The sequence below is a fragment of the Homo sapiens genome, chromosome 17 (assembly GCF_000001405.40).
Source record: "Homo sapiens chromosome 17, GRCh38.p14 Primary Assembly".
Taxonomy (NCBI): domain Eukaryota; kingdom Metazoa; phylum Chordata; class Mammalia; order Primates; family Hominidae; genus Homo; species Homo sapiens.
The window spans coordinates 75,538,936-75,551,540 of record NC_000017.11 but is presented as its reverse complement, the minus strand read 5'-3'; the positions used below and the strand labels follow the sequence as shown (position 1 = coordinate 75,551,540).

The following is a 12,605-nucleotide window of genomic DNA, read 5'->3' as shown; positions in this document are numbered from 1 at the left end:
CATTCCTCATTCCCTTCAAGCCTTGGAGTTATCGTGGCCACCCCTCCCCCCCATCCCCACCTTCTTTTCCAAAGGCTGATTTAGAACAGGGACTGAGTCAGACCCACTAAGCTTTGTATCCCTTCCTGCCACGTACAAGGCATCTGGTCGTGGATGAGCTGCTGGGCCTCCCTGAGCTTCATTTCTCATCTAATAAACGGGATGGTACTGGTGACTGCACTGGGCAGAGCTGTCCTTGGATTGGAGATGATGGATCTGAGGCCACCCTGCAGCACACACAGGCCTCTGCTTCCTTCCGAGGCTCGCATTGTTCCATAGTATCACCTTGGGCACTTCTCCAAGTTGGCAACTCTGGAGGGACCAGGGCTCCCCTAAAACCAAAATAAGGGCAGTGACCTTCACAGCGACTCTACCTGGACAGGGCCAAGAGAATGGTTTCATGTGTAAATGACCTGTCTCCCAGGGGATTCCTCAGGCAGTCCTATGAGGACAGGGGCTCGGGCTGGGCAGAGAGGCAGGGGAGCCCTAGGTTAGTTATGAGAAGCCCAAGGGATCTTGTTGGGAACAGGGAAGGGATTGGGATTTGGGAACAGGACTAAGAGCAGCTAACAGAAGGGACAGGGAGAAGCTAGAAACCCAGGGCCTAGTGTCCTGAGGAAACCAGTCAGGGAAAGAACGAAGGCTCCATGGGCACCTCTGGCTGTGCCCCAGTTGCCCCCTAGTTTGTGTGTGTGTGTTTTTTTTTTTTTTTTTTTTTTTTGAGACAGGGTCTCACTCTGTTGCCCAGGCTGGAGTGCAGTGGTACGATCTCAGCTCACTGTAACCTCCTCCTCCCGGGCTCAAGTGATCCACCTGAGTCTCCCGAGTAGCTAGAACTACAGGCATGCGCCACCACAGCTGGCTAATTTTTGTATTTTTTGTAGAGATGAGGTGTCACTATGTTGCCCAGGCTGGTCTCGAACTCCTGGACTCAAGTGATCCACCTGCCTCAGCCTCCCAAAGTGCTGGGATTACAGGTGTAAGCCACCGCGCCCGGCCTGCCCCGCCCCTTACTTTGGTGCCCTTCCCACCCCCTTGGATCCCACCCCCAACTCCTACCAGCCTTGTAAGGCTTAGCTTCCCTGCTGCTGAACAAGGTCTGTATCACTTAGGTGGTGACTCCCCCCTTGTTTAGGGTTCAGGAACAGTTCCAGGTCCCTGTTAGAGGGAGTGCATATGGCCTCCCTAAAAGGAAGTACCCACCTGAGCACAGGAGGTTGGGCTCAGCCCCAGGGCTGCCTTCCTGCAAAGGTACACACAGCAACCCTGAATCGCGGCTGCACTCAGGACAGAGGGCGGGACGGGGCATAGCCCCTGGGTGGTCAAGGAATTCCAAGACCAGCCCTCCCCAGCTATTCTAGGACCCTAGCTATCTCTCCTCAGATTCAAACCAGGAGGCTGACCAAAGCTGCCTGGCAGCCACTGGGGCCTCCGAAGCGCGGCATCCAGCCTACCCGGCCCCGCCCACATCTGATACCTGGCTCAGGTGACCTCTGCCAAGGGAGGAGAGAACAATGAACTCTTTTGACAGGGGGGTTGGGAAAGGAGAGCAAAGATTTGCAGAAGCCGCCAGACTGCAACGTTAGCCTGGAGTAGGGGAGAAGGCCCGTCTCTCCTGGGCTCTGGGACTCCTTTCCAGGTCCCGGAAGGGGAGCGAGTGGGCAAAGGCTGGCTGTCAGAGACAGTGGGGCCTTCATCCTGCCTGCAGCCAGGGAGGACCCTGCCCAAGGGCTAGGACCTGAGGAGGAGTCCCTGGCACTCCTCAGGGGGTGGGAAGGAGGCAGTGGTGGGCACCAGGCCCTCAGAGGCTGCCCAGCACCTTGGGGGAGCACTCCTGCCTGGCCGGGCCACTCTGCCCGATACTGGCTGGGTGTGGCCAGCTCAGATTCCTGGCAGTGGCGGCAGCCTGGCCCTCCCTGTGTGGCTGCTGTCACCTGACACCAGGGGCCCAGCCATTCGAAAGCCAATACAGAACAACCTGGCCCTCCGCAGGGGCTGCTGGGTCAGGAACACACTGTTTGTTCAGGGCCTAAGGGGACAGAGGAGGGTGGGCACGGGCAGGGAAGGCCCAGGCAGGTGCTTCTGCGGCAGCCGGGCAAGCACAGCAGCCTGTTTGCCCTGATGGGTGTGGCTGCTTGGGGTGTGCCTGGGTTTGGCCGAGGGGAGCGAGCTGGCTGTGAGCAGTTGTCTAGGAACGGGTTTTACCTTGACTTCTCCAGCAGCACTTCCTCCCTCCCGAGGTCCCATGGTTCCTTCCCTTGGTCCTCAGTGGCCCTGTCCTGGTGCTGCAGCTGACTTGTCTGTCTGTCCATCCCTCCAATAGGCTTGACGGCCCACCATATATAGCAAACAGTTACTTCACTGGTGAAGTAACTGAGGTGTGAAGGGAGGTGAAGCCACCACTCTAAGGCCACACAGCCAGACCACAGGTGAAACCAGGACATCCTCACCCCAGCCAGTGCCCCTGCCCCGGATAAGCTCCAGCTGTGCAAGCCCTGGGGGCCTTAGTCTCCTCCCCTGCAGAATGGAAGCAACACCCATCCTGAGTTGTTGTGAGGGTGACACCACAACAAGGCAAGTCCTGGTAAGGCGTCGACCTGTGTCAGGCACCGTTTGAAGCAATTACACTCCCTTAGGGATCATTATGATGCTGTTGGAACTCAGGACATACCACCCCAAAATACCACTGTAGGAGACCAGAATGGGCTACCCCAAAGTATACTTCTTTGGCTTTTTTTTTTTTTTTGAGACAGAATCTCACTCTGTCACCCAGGCTGGAGTGCAATGGCGCGATCTTGGCTCACTGCAACCTCCGCCTCCCAGGTTCAAGTGATTCTCCTGCCTCAGCCTCTCAAGTAGCTGGGATTACAGGTGTGCGCCACCATGCCCGGCTAGGCTGATCTCGAACTCCTGACCTCAGGTGATCTACCTGCCTCAGCCTCCCAAACTGCTGGCATTGCAGGCAGGAGACACGGCGCCCGGCCACTTCTTTGGCATACTTTGAGCTGGTTATTCTCAGAAAGTGCAGACATGGGAGTAGCTCTGAAAAGCTGTCCTTTAGCCGGGCGTGGTGGCACATGCCTGTAATCCCAGCTATGTGGGAGGCTGAGGCTGGAGAATCCCTTGAACCCGGGAGGCAGAGGTTGCAGTGAGCTGAGATGGTACCATTGCACTCCAGCCCGGGCAACAAGAGCTAAACTCCGTCCAAAAAAAAAAAAAAAAGGAAAAAAAAAATTGTCCTTCTGTAAAATAAATTTACATCCACAAAGGAAAGCTACATTAGTCAAGTACAGGCGGAATATCCCTCATCTAAAATGATTGCGAATAGAGGGTTTTAGATTTCAGAATCTTTTGGGTTTCGGAATATTTGCATTATACTTACCGGTCGAGCATCCCAAATCCAAACTTTCAAAATCTGAAACGCTCCAGTGAGCATTCCCTTTCAGTGTCATGTTGGCACTTCAAAAACTCAGATTTTGGAGCATTTCGGATATCAGATTTTCTGATCATGTATGCTCAATCCATATCTGTATCAGGAAGAAGGCTGCTCCAAGGCAACTTTTATTACCCAGGACCTTCTCTGCATAACAAGACAACCTTCATTCACCTACACTTCCTCCCCTCACCTTCCTGTAACCTGGTCACATTCCACCCCAGTCCTCATTTTTTTTTTTTTTGAGACAGGGTCTCACTCTGTCACCCAGGCTAGAGTGCAGTGGCATGATCTCGGCTCACTGCAATCTCCGCCTCCAGGGTTCAACTGATTCTCTTGCCCCAGCCTCCCTAGTAGCTGAGACTACAGGCGTGTGCCACCACACCCAACTGATTTTTGTATTTTTAGTAGAGATGGGGTTTCGCCATGTTGGCCAGGCTGGTCTCTAACTTCAGACCTCAAGTGATCCACCCACCTCAGCCTCCCAAAGTGCTGGGATTACAGGCATGAGCCACTGCGCCCCGCCTCTCGTCAATTTAATTCATAGCCCAGCCAAAGAACCTAGAAGGCTGGAGGGAAGCCAGTTTTTGCTCCCCTACAATGCCCATTTTACAGATGAGGAAACTAAAGAACAGAGAGGCTAAGTAATGCGTCCACTGTGTCTTACACAGTGAGGAAGCATCAGAGCCCGCATCTAGACCCAGGTCATGTGGCTGCAAAGTCCCTGCCCCTAACCACTACCTGGCCCCTCTGATGCCTGGCACATAGCCCTCGGTGAACTGGAGTTACCGCTCTGACAGCCAGTTCCTGGCAGAGTTCAGAGACTGTTCGCAATCACAGATCCTCTGGAAGTACTGAAGCCAAAGAAACAAGACGTCTCCCTCTCAGGACCCCCGGGGCGATGTCCTTGCTCTCTTTGAGGCATCGGGCTTGGTGTGGGTATAAAGGAGTTGAGCCAAAAGGTGTTGGACAAAAAGGCCAGAACTGGTTCAGAAGCCAGTGTCTACAAGCCACCTGGGGTCGAGCTGTGATGGCGCCACTGTCCCAGCTGTCACAGTACCCAGCAGACTGGCCTTCCAGGACCACTGGAAGAGATGACCTGAGTTGCCAGCATGAACACTGTCTGGGGCCTGACCCTCGCCTACACCAACAGCCCACGTGCCGCTCCAGGCTCCAGCCCTGGGTATCCCACCGTCCGCTGGACCTGCCCTCCGCCTGTCTGCTGGACCTGCCCTCCGCCTGTCTGCTGGACCTGCCCTCCGCCTGTCTGCTGGACCTGCCCTCCGTCTGTCTGCTGGACCTGCCCTCCGCCTGTCTGCTGGACCTGCCCTCCGCCTGTCTGCTGGACCTGCCCTCCGTCTGTCTGCTGGACCTGCCCTCCGCCTGTCTGCTGGACCTGCCCTCCGCCTGTCTGCTGGACCTGCCCTCCGCCTGTCTGCTGGACCTGCCCTCCGCCTGTCTGCTGGACCTGCCCTCCGCCTGTCTGCTGGACCTGCCCTCCGCCTGTCTGCTGGGCCTGTCCCAAGGCTCCCCCAACTCAACCTCAAGCCACATGACACCCACCACAGAACGATGCTGCCGGACACTGCAGCCGCCAGCCAGACGTGGCCTTCGATTCGTGCAGGAACTCATGTAGTCCTCACACCAACTCTATGGATGGAGTGGCTCTGATTATCATTATCTCAGAGGCATGTGACCTGCTCAAGGTCACACAGCTGGCGAGCCGGGCAGTCGGCACCACTCACCTCTGGGCAAGCTGCCTCTCCAAAAATGGAGAGCACTGTTGTTGCGATTGTGTCCAAATCAAAACGATCAAAATACATTACTTTTCCTCAAATCTGTTCTTCGCCACTCCTGGCCTGGGCTCCCCCTCCCAAGGCCTGGCACCACCACCTACCCAGGTCAGAGACTTCACGGTCATCCTGCACACCCGCCTCCCCTCCCCATCCCCTCCCTCTTTACTGCCCCATCAGCAGATCTCAGCCCTGAATAGTTCTCTATTCCATGGGTCTCAAACCAGGAGCGATTTTACCCCTCAGGAAACATTCTTGGTTGTCACATCTTGACAGGCTGTGTGTGTATGTATGTGCTACTGGCATCTAGTGGGTAGGACTAGGGACACTGCTAAATAATCTACAACGCACAGGACAGCCTCCGCAGCACAGCCAGCCTCAAATATCATCTGTGAGTGCTGAAGTTGAGAAACCCTGCTCAATTCATGCCTCGTTCCCATCCCCACTGGCTGGGCTTCCAGTCCCTTCCTTCTGGGCTGTCACCTATCTTAGTCGGGGCAATGTCTCCTAACTGCTCTGAGCTTACCTGCCTTGCCCAAAGGGTAAAAACATCTCCAGGTTTATCTTTCCTACATTGTAAATGGGACCACTATTCACTCCCTTGCTCACAACCCCTGGAGCCGCAGGGTCAGATCAGGCCCAGATACCAGCAGCCTCCCTGCTTCACAGCCTGGGCTGGGGAGGGGCAGGGCAGACGGGATCCCAAATCCTCTGGGATCTGGCCTCATCCTCCAATCCCACCCTGCTGGCCCCACCACACTCCCCGAGCCGGATGAGTCTACCCCGCTCCTGAATCCCCTGGGCTCTCCCCTTCCTCCTCTCCACTTCCAAGGCCTGAAATTTCAGGCCATCAGCCTCCTCCCTCCTGCAGACTGTAAAAGTGGAGGGCAGAGGCCTAATCAGATTCCCATAGCCCTGAGCCTTGGGCTGTGGATCCAGTAAGTGCTCAATGCATGCTTCTTGCATATGAATGGAAAGAAGAAGGCAGAGCAGGAGACCCAGGAGCCTCCCTCTGCCACCCCCAGGCCTGGGAGTGGGACAATCAAGTTTGGGGATCACCCCTGGGGGATAGGGGAAAGAAGAAGGGACAACTCCTTGCCCCAGCTCCACCCTAGCCTCACTCAGCTGCACAGACAGAACTTGGTGCAAGGGGGCAGGGGTAGGGGGGTGTTCAGCCCTATTTGCTGAGCCTGTCAGGTTTCTGCCACCTTTTCAAAGCGAAAGACTGGAGGCAGATGGGGGTCACTCAGTTCCCTTCCATCTCCCGTGGACACCGAAGCTTTGAGACCCAGCACCCATAGGCTACTCCCTCCAGAGCAAGGGTAGCAGGCTGTAGGTGTCCTGAGATCTCCCATTCCCAACACCTGCACCCCCATATCCCAAGGCCCAAAAGCGAGCTGGCAGGAGGCACGTTGGGATAGGAAAGCCCTAATTCCAGAGGCAAATGTCCTCGTGGCAAAGCTCCATCAGGGACACCAACTCCTCCCACAGGCTAAGAAACACAGAGAGAAATGGCAGGGCACATTGGGAGCGCTGACCCACCTCTCCCAACGGGGAGGTCAGGGAGGTCCCTCCACCCCACGACCCACCTCTCCCAACAGGGAGGTCACGGAGATCCCCTCCAGCCCACAGCAGCAGCCAGCATTCCTGGGCCACTGTGCCTAGCACTTAAGTTACCTCACCCCACGTACGCCCTTAACAAGCCTATGGTGTGGGCGACAGGCACACGGCCATCCAGCTTCTATGTGGCAAAGTTGGGTTTGCACCTGGGCAAGCTGACTTCTACAGTTCTCAAATCAATAACAAAAATACAACCAAAGAGACTTCCTCATTCTCCACAGGGAGACATCCCTTTTCCAGACTGTCTGGTCTCACATCCACTGCTTCCTTTCGGGGGCAGGGGAGCCCAAACGGAAGCCCCCAACGAAAGCCACATGTCCTGCCCTCAGCATATTGGGAGGGTCCTGGCTCCCCGGGGGAAGAGGATCACAGTGTCCCAGTTCCTGCAGCCCACCTTCCCAGCAGAGGCGCAAAGCAGAGGTGAGAAGATCATTACCTCACAAGGCCCCACACTGCTTGGTGGCCCGGGAGCTGAAGAGCCACACTGCACGCCTCCTGCGTACAGGCCCGTCCTGACCTTCTCAGGCCCCAGACTCCTGAAGGGAAGCCCCGTGGGCCTTCTGGTACCCCGGATACAGGTTTGGGATTGGGGTAGTCCGAGGCCAACTCCGGCTCATTCTCCTGGGCACCTCTCCCCACTCACCCCGGCCGGAGCCAGAAGGAATCACGTGTTCAGCCTGCAGGGGAGCTGCATTTTCCTTCAGGGGCAATTTGAGAAGGGAGAAACAGCCATGGCCTGTGACTCCAGGGCCCCAAGGGACCTGGAACATTATCACCCCCTGAAGAGTTCATCCTTTCATCTCCCACGTCCCTAAACCTCCTTGACAACCCTGTGCCGAGGTAGACATGGCAGATCGTTTTATTCCCATGATACAGGTAGGGAAACTGAGGCTCCATGAGGTGGAGTGACTTGCAGAGGTCACACAGCCAGTGAAAGCCTTCAGATGAGAAGTCCCAACTCATGAGGGCAACCTATTCCCCTTTTCTATAAAAGCCCTTTAACCAGGCCCCATTTCCAAAGTCTGAGTCCCAAGAGGCACTGCAGGCAGTCACATAAGAGCTATACCTTAATCCAGGTAAGAGGTGCCTCAGCCCCAGCCTGAGCTGCTTGGCCGAAAACCTGGGGGTCATCTTCCCTGCTCTCCCTAACTTACCTTGTTAAACTGGAACAGGTCCCGCTTGAGCCTCTCCCGCACAGGGTCATGCCCTGGCCTCAGGAACCGCCTCATTTTGCTTAGTCTGCAGCCCCCACTGGAGACCTGGAGAAACAGAAGGAGCTGCAGGGGTCTGTCCTGGCACTCAGGTATCGATTAGGCCCGGCCCAAACAGGTGGAGCAGGGCCTCTCTCTCCAAGTCCAGTAGGCTGCCACCCCGGGGCCAGGCCAGCTTCACAGTGACCGCCCATGCACCCTGGCTTCCCCACGCTCAGATCTAGAGGCCGGCCCACCTCAGGGCTGAAGGCTGTCACCACCTGTGGCCTTATAATGGGGGTAGGAAAAGCTGGGGGAGGAAGCCATTTAGCCTGGCTTTATAAGCACAAGGAGGGCCGGCGGGCCCTGAGGTTAATTAGCTTAATTGTTAACCTGTTTTCTGAGAAACCATGAAACTCCAGCTAAGCAGAAAGGGAAACTTCGCAAGCCTCTTCCTCCAAAGTCTTGTGGAAGGTAGAAACACCAAGGCCATCCTTCCCAGATCAGAGCCCAAGTCGGGGCAGGGGAGAGGCCTGCAGTGACTCCAGGCCAGGGCACCGGGCAGATGCTTCCTCCTTCTGACCTCGGGGAAGGCTGTCCAGGGACTCTCGGCCTCAGCCTCTCCAACCAGCCACAGCCATGAGAAACTCAAGTGGGCACGGGTGGCACAGAGCACTCGGTCAGGGGGTGCTGGCCCATGCCACCGTGCCTGGGGTCTCTGCCGGTCCCCTCCCCTCTCTCTGGCTAGCCCCAGTCCAGCTTCCCTGTGCGCTCATGGGCTGTGCTCAGAAAGGTTCTCTTTCCCACGGGCCCTAGTGGAGAATAATCAGGAGGAATCTGCTCCCAATAAAGAAACCAGCTCAAGGCCCCTAAACTCTCCGCCCACCATAGAATCCATTCCCAGCCCAAGGGGAAACCATTTCTGGATTATCCTTGGGGGAAGGGGAAGGAGCCTCTGTGCTCCAGCTTCTGGCTTCCAGTAGCTCAGCCTCCTGCTGACCACAGGACAGCAAGGCCCGTCCTTGGGAAACACAGACCCTGGGCACAGCTCCGTCCACTCCCAGCAGGATGGGGGAAGGAAGCAGATCCAGGCCGCACCCTGGAGGCGCGTGCTCCAGGCAGGGACAGGTAGAGACAGGGCAGCCCAGTGTTGAGTGCTTTGACTGCAGGAGGGAGAGGGAACACCTGGCCCGAAGTGGGAGGCAGCTTAGATACCTTCGAGAAGAAGGTATCTAAGCTGAGGTTTGAAGGATTTCGCGTTCTTGGGAGGTGGCAAAAATTAACCATCAGGTCAGGACTTTGCATATGATAGGATCCCATGTAATCTGGGCAGCGTGGGAGAAGGTAGGTAACGTGCGTGGCAGAGTTGGGGGTGTCTTCGGGCAGAGGAACCGAGGGCTTGCTGTGCTGGGAGGGTGACCCGATTTTACAAAATCGCACTGTAAAAAATGGCAGTCTTGTAATCCCAGCACTTTGGGAGGCGGAGGCAGGTGGATCACCTCAGGTCAAGAGTTTGAGACCAGCCTGGCCAACATGGTGAAACCTCGTCTCTACTAAAAATACAAAAAGTTAGCCGAGTGTGGTGGCAGACGCCTGTAATCCCAGCTACTTGGAAGGCTAAGGCAGGAGAATTGCTAGAACCCAAGAGGCGGAGGTTGCAGTGAGCCAAGATCAGGCCATTGCACTCCGGCCTGGGCAACAGAGCAAAAACAGTATCTCAAAAAAAAAAAAAAAAAAAAAAAAAAAAAAAGCAGAGCCACATCCCCCTTGAGTGAAAGGATCTGCACGGTCAGTTATCTCAAAACCGAATACCAGGAACCAGCCCCCAGAGCGCTGTCACCTTCTGGGGAAACTGAAAAAGGGGGTCATTCCGGGATGTTCCTGCCTTCACATTTTGGAGGAGTCAGACCAGAGGTGGGGATCCCACTTTGCTGGGGAAGAGCAGGTGGCCGGGAAACTCCTAGGGCCCACTTGATCCAAGGTCCCAAGGGGGTTCAGAGAACAGGCACCGGCTGGGAAAGCCCCAAGGGCTTCTGGAATGGAAGTGAGGGGACACCCAGATCTGCTGGCCCAGCATTGCAGCCTGGGGGAGGGCAGCTCACACTCATAAACCAGTTGGACTCCTGGAGGGCTCACACCCCCACCCGGGGCCCAGGCCAAGGTCACTGGGTCAGAAGTCAGAGGAAGCTTGGTGGGGGCTCCCTGGAGAGTGACCACTGCCTGCAGACTCCAGGGAGGGGACAAGAGGGCACAGGGCCATCCGTGCCAAAGACTCCACACAGGCTTAAAAGTGACAAGGCAGAACTGGGGGCTGGGAGGAGGTGCCAGTAGGAAGGAGGAAGACAGGGTGTAGCAATGGCATCAGGAGGGCGTGGACACTGAGCACCACCCACCCACCCAAATGCTCCCTGGGGCACCTGCTGTGCAGTAGGGAGTGAGTGTACCAGACCCTCTGCATCCTATTCCATTTAAAACATTTTGCTCAAGTAATCTGTGCCCATTGTAGAAAAACCAAATACAGACAAGAAAATCCTCCCTAAACCCCAGCATCCAGAGAGTCACAGTCATGGGTCGCTGAATGTCCTGGCCATCTCCTTTCCTTGGCACTGTGTGAGTTTGTGAGCGTGGAGCCCCTCACACCACCCTGATCTGGGAAGCCATCTGAAAGGTAAGCAGAACGTCCCCACTAGACAGGCAAGGAAACAGACCACAGCAGCAAAACACCCTGTCAAGGTCACCAAGTAGGAAGCGGCAGAACTCGGACTGGACCCCAAGTCAGAAGGGCTGTGGGTAGCAGTGATGGATGGATAATACAGAACAAAGGATGCCCAATGACACCCTTGCAATTAAGAGGCAGGGACACGCACAGACACGCTCCCAGATGCTGGCAGCTCAGAGCCGACCCGGCAGTCTGGGGCCTGGGGACTGGCCGCTGCTGACAGGGTGCTGGCGAGGTCTGGCTGGGCAGGGCTGGTGGCCTTGTGTGGACCTGCTGCTCTTCCCACACGGGGCTGGGACCTCATGGGCATGGGGTGATGGAGCCAGGAGGACCAAGGCAGGGTGGGCATGGTATCCCCTCACTCCAATCAACCCACTGCCCAGGTCAAGGCATGGAAAAGCACCACGCTTCCTTGAAGAGGGGGCTGGTCTAGACCTGGCGGGCCTCACCTCCAGGTGGCTCCTCAGCTCCCCACCCCAGACAAGCAGGTTCTCTGCAGAGAAACTTCAGGAAGCCAGGCCTAGAGACGCCTGGTATGAACAGATCCTGCCTACTCAGCCCATTCCTGGAGGGAGCCAGGGGTTGTAAGGGAAAGAGCCCTGGGCTAGGGGCCAACAGGCCAGGGCTCACCATCACAGCACCGCATAGCTCCCCCAAGCCACATGGCCTCCAGAGACAGCTCCTCTGTAAAGGGGGATGGCACTCCCTCCCACACAGATCCTGTAGAAGGAGCAAGAGCTTGGCATGGAGCAGACACTGTCCTAGGAAAGGGATACAGCAGTGACAGGGGAGCAACAGACACTTCACAGGACACAAATCAGAAAATGGGATGATTTCCAACCAGCCGCAGTAACTCACACCTGTAATCCCAGCACTCTGGGAGGCCGAGGCGGGTGGATCACTTGAGGTCAGGAGTTCGAGACCAGCCTGGGTCAACATGGTGAAACCCCGTCTCTACTAAAAATACAAAAATTAACTGAGTCTGGTAGTGTGCTCCTGTAGTTTCAGCTACTCAGGAGGCTGAGGCAGGAGAATCACTTGAACCTGGGAGGTGGAGGTTACAGTGAGCTGAGATCGCACCACTGCACTCCAGTCTGGGTGACGGAGTGAAATTCTGTATAAAAAAAAAAAAAAAAAAGTAACCAGAAAATGGGATGATTTCTGACAGAGGTCAGGACTATCTCTGATCAAAAAAAAGAGATGGGCTGGGCACGGTGGCTCACTCCTATAATCCCAGCACTTTGGGAGGCCAAGGTGGGAGGATCACTTGAGCCTAGGAGCTGGAGACGACCAGCCTGGGCAACATAGTGAGACCCTGTCTCTAAAAAAAAAAGGAAAGGACATTTTTTCAAATTTACATGGAACAATAAAAATTTTGAAAAGAAAGGAGGGCTGGGCACAGTGGCTCATGCTTGTAATCCACTTTGGGAGGCTACGGTGGGAGGATCACTTGAGCTCAGGAGTTCAAGACCAGCCAGGGCAACATAGGGAGACCCTATCTCTAAAAATAATAAAAACAAAATTAGCTGGGCATGGTGGCATGCACCTGTGGTCCCAGCCACTCAAAAGGCTAAGGTGGAAGGATTGCTGAGCCTGGGAAGTTGAGGCTGCAGTGAGCTATGAACCCACCACTGTACTCTAGCCTAGGTGACAGAGCGAAACTCTGTCTCAAAACAAACAAAAAGGATTAGCCAGGCATGGTGTCAAGCACCTGTGGTCCCAGCTACTTGGGAGGCTGAGGCGGGAAGATCAGTGGAGCCCAGGAGTTTGAGGCTGCTGTGAGCTATGACTGTACCACTGCACTCCAGCCT

The 12,605-nt window shown here is 55.8% G+C and overlaps 1 protein-coding gene across 32 annotated transcripts in view, besides 2 other annotated features; it reads right to left on the bottom strand.

The window, feature by feature from the left end:
* The window catches only part of LLGL2 (LLGL scribble cell polarity complex component 2), a 50,208-nt gene that overhangs the window by 23,669 nt on the left and 13,934 nt on the right, over positions 1-12,605 (bottom strand). For 28 of the 32 annotated variants that reach the window (XM_017024626.2, XM_011524802.2, XM_047435995.1 and 25 more), the window contains one exon: positions 8,040-8,144. In XM_017024626.2, the coding sequence (XP_016880115.1) occupies positions 8,040-8,114 (75 nt within the window). In that variant the 5' untranslated portion in view covers positions 8,115-8,144. Of the gene's footprint in view, positions 1-136; positions 356-8,039; positions 8,145-8,332; positions 8,388-11,654; positions 11,752-12,605 lie in introns of those variants that run through there. The other 4 variants (XM_047435986.1, XM_047435978.1, XM_047435977.1 and 1 more) reach the window with 4 other exon arrangements.
* Positions 6,033-6,835: an enhancer, noted in NCBI's record as "H3K4me1 hESC enhancer chr17:73540787-73541589 (GRCh37/hg19 assembly coordinates)". NCBI's record gives its function as "activates a minimal SCP1, AML or CMV promoter by ChIP-STARR-seq in primed H9 embryonic stem cells {active_cell/tissue: H9 hESC(primed)}" and the evidence as "EXISTENCE:reporter gene assay evidence [ECO:0000049][PMID:30033119]".
* Positions 9,196-10,013: an enhancer, noted in NCBI's record as "H3K4me1 hESC enhancer chr17:73537609-73538426 (GRCh37/hg19 assembly coordinates)". NCBI's record gives its function as "activates a minimal SCP1, AML or CMV promoter by ChIP-STARR-seq in naive H9 embryonic stem cells {active_cell/tissue: H9 hESC(naive)}" and the evidence as "EXISTENCE:reporter gene assay evidence [ECO:0000049][PMID:30033119]".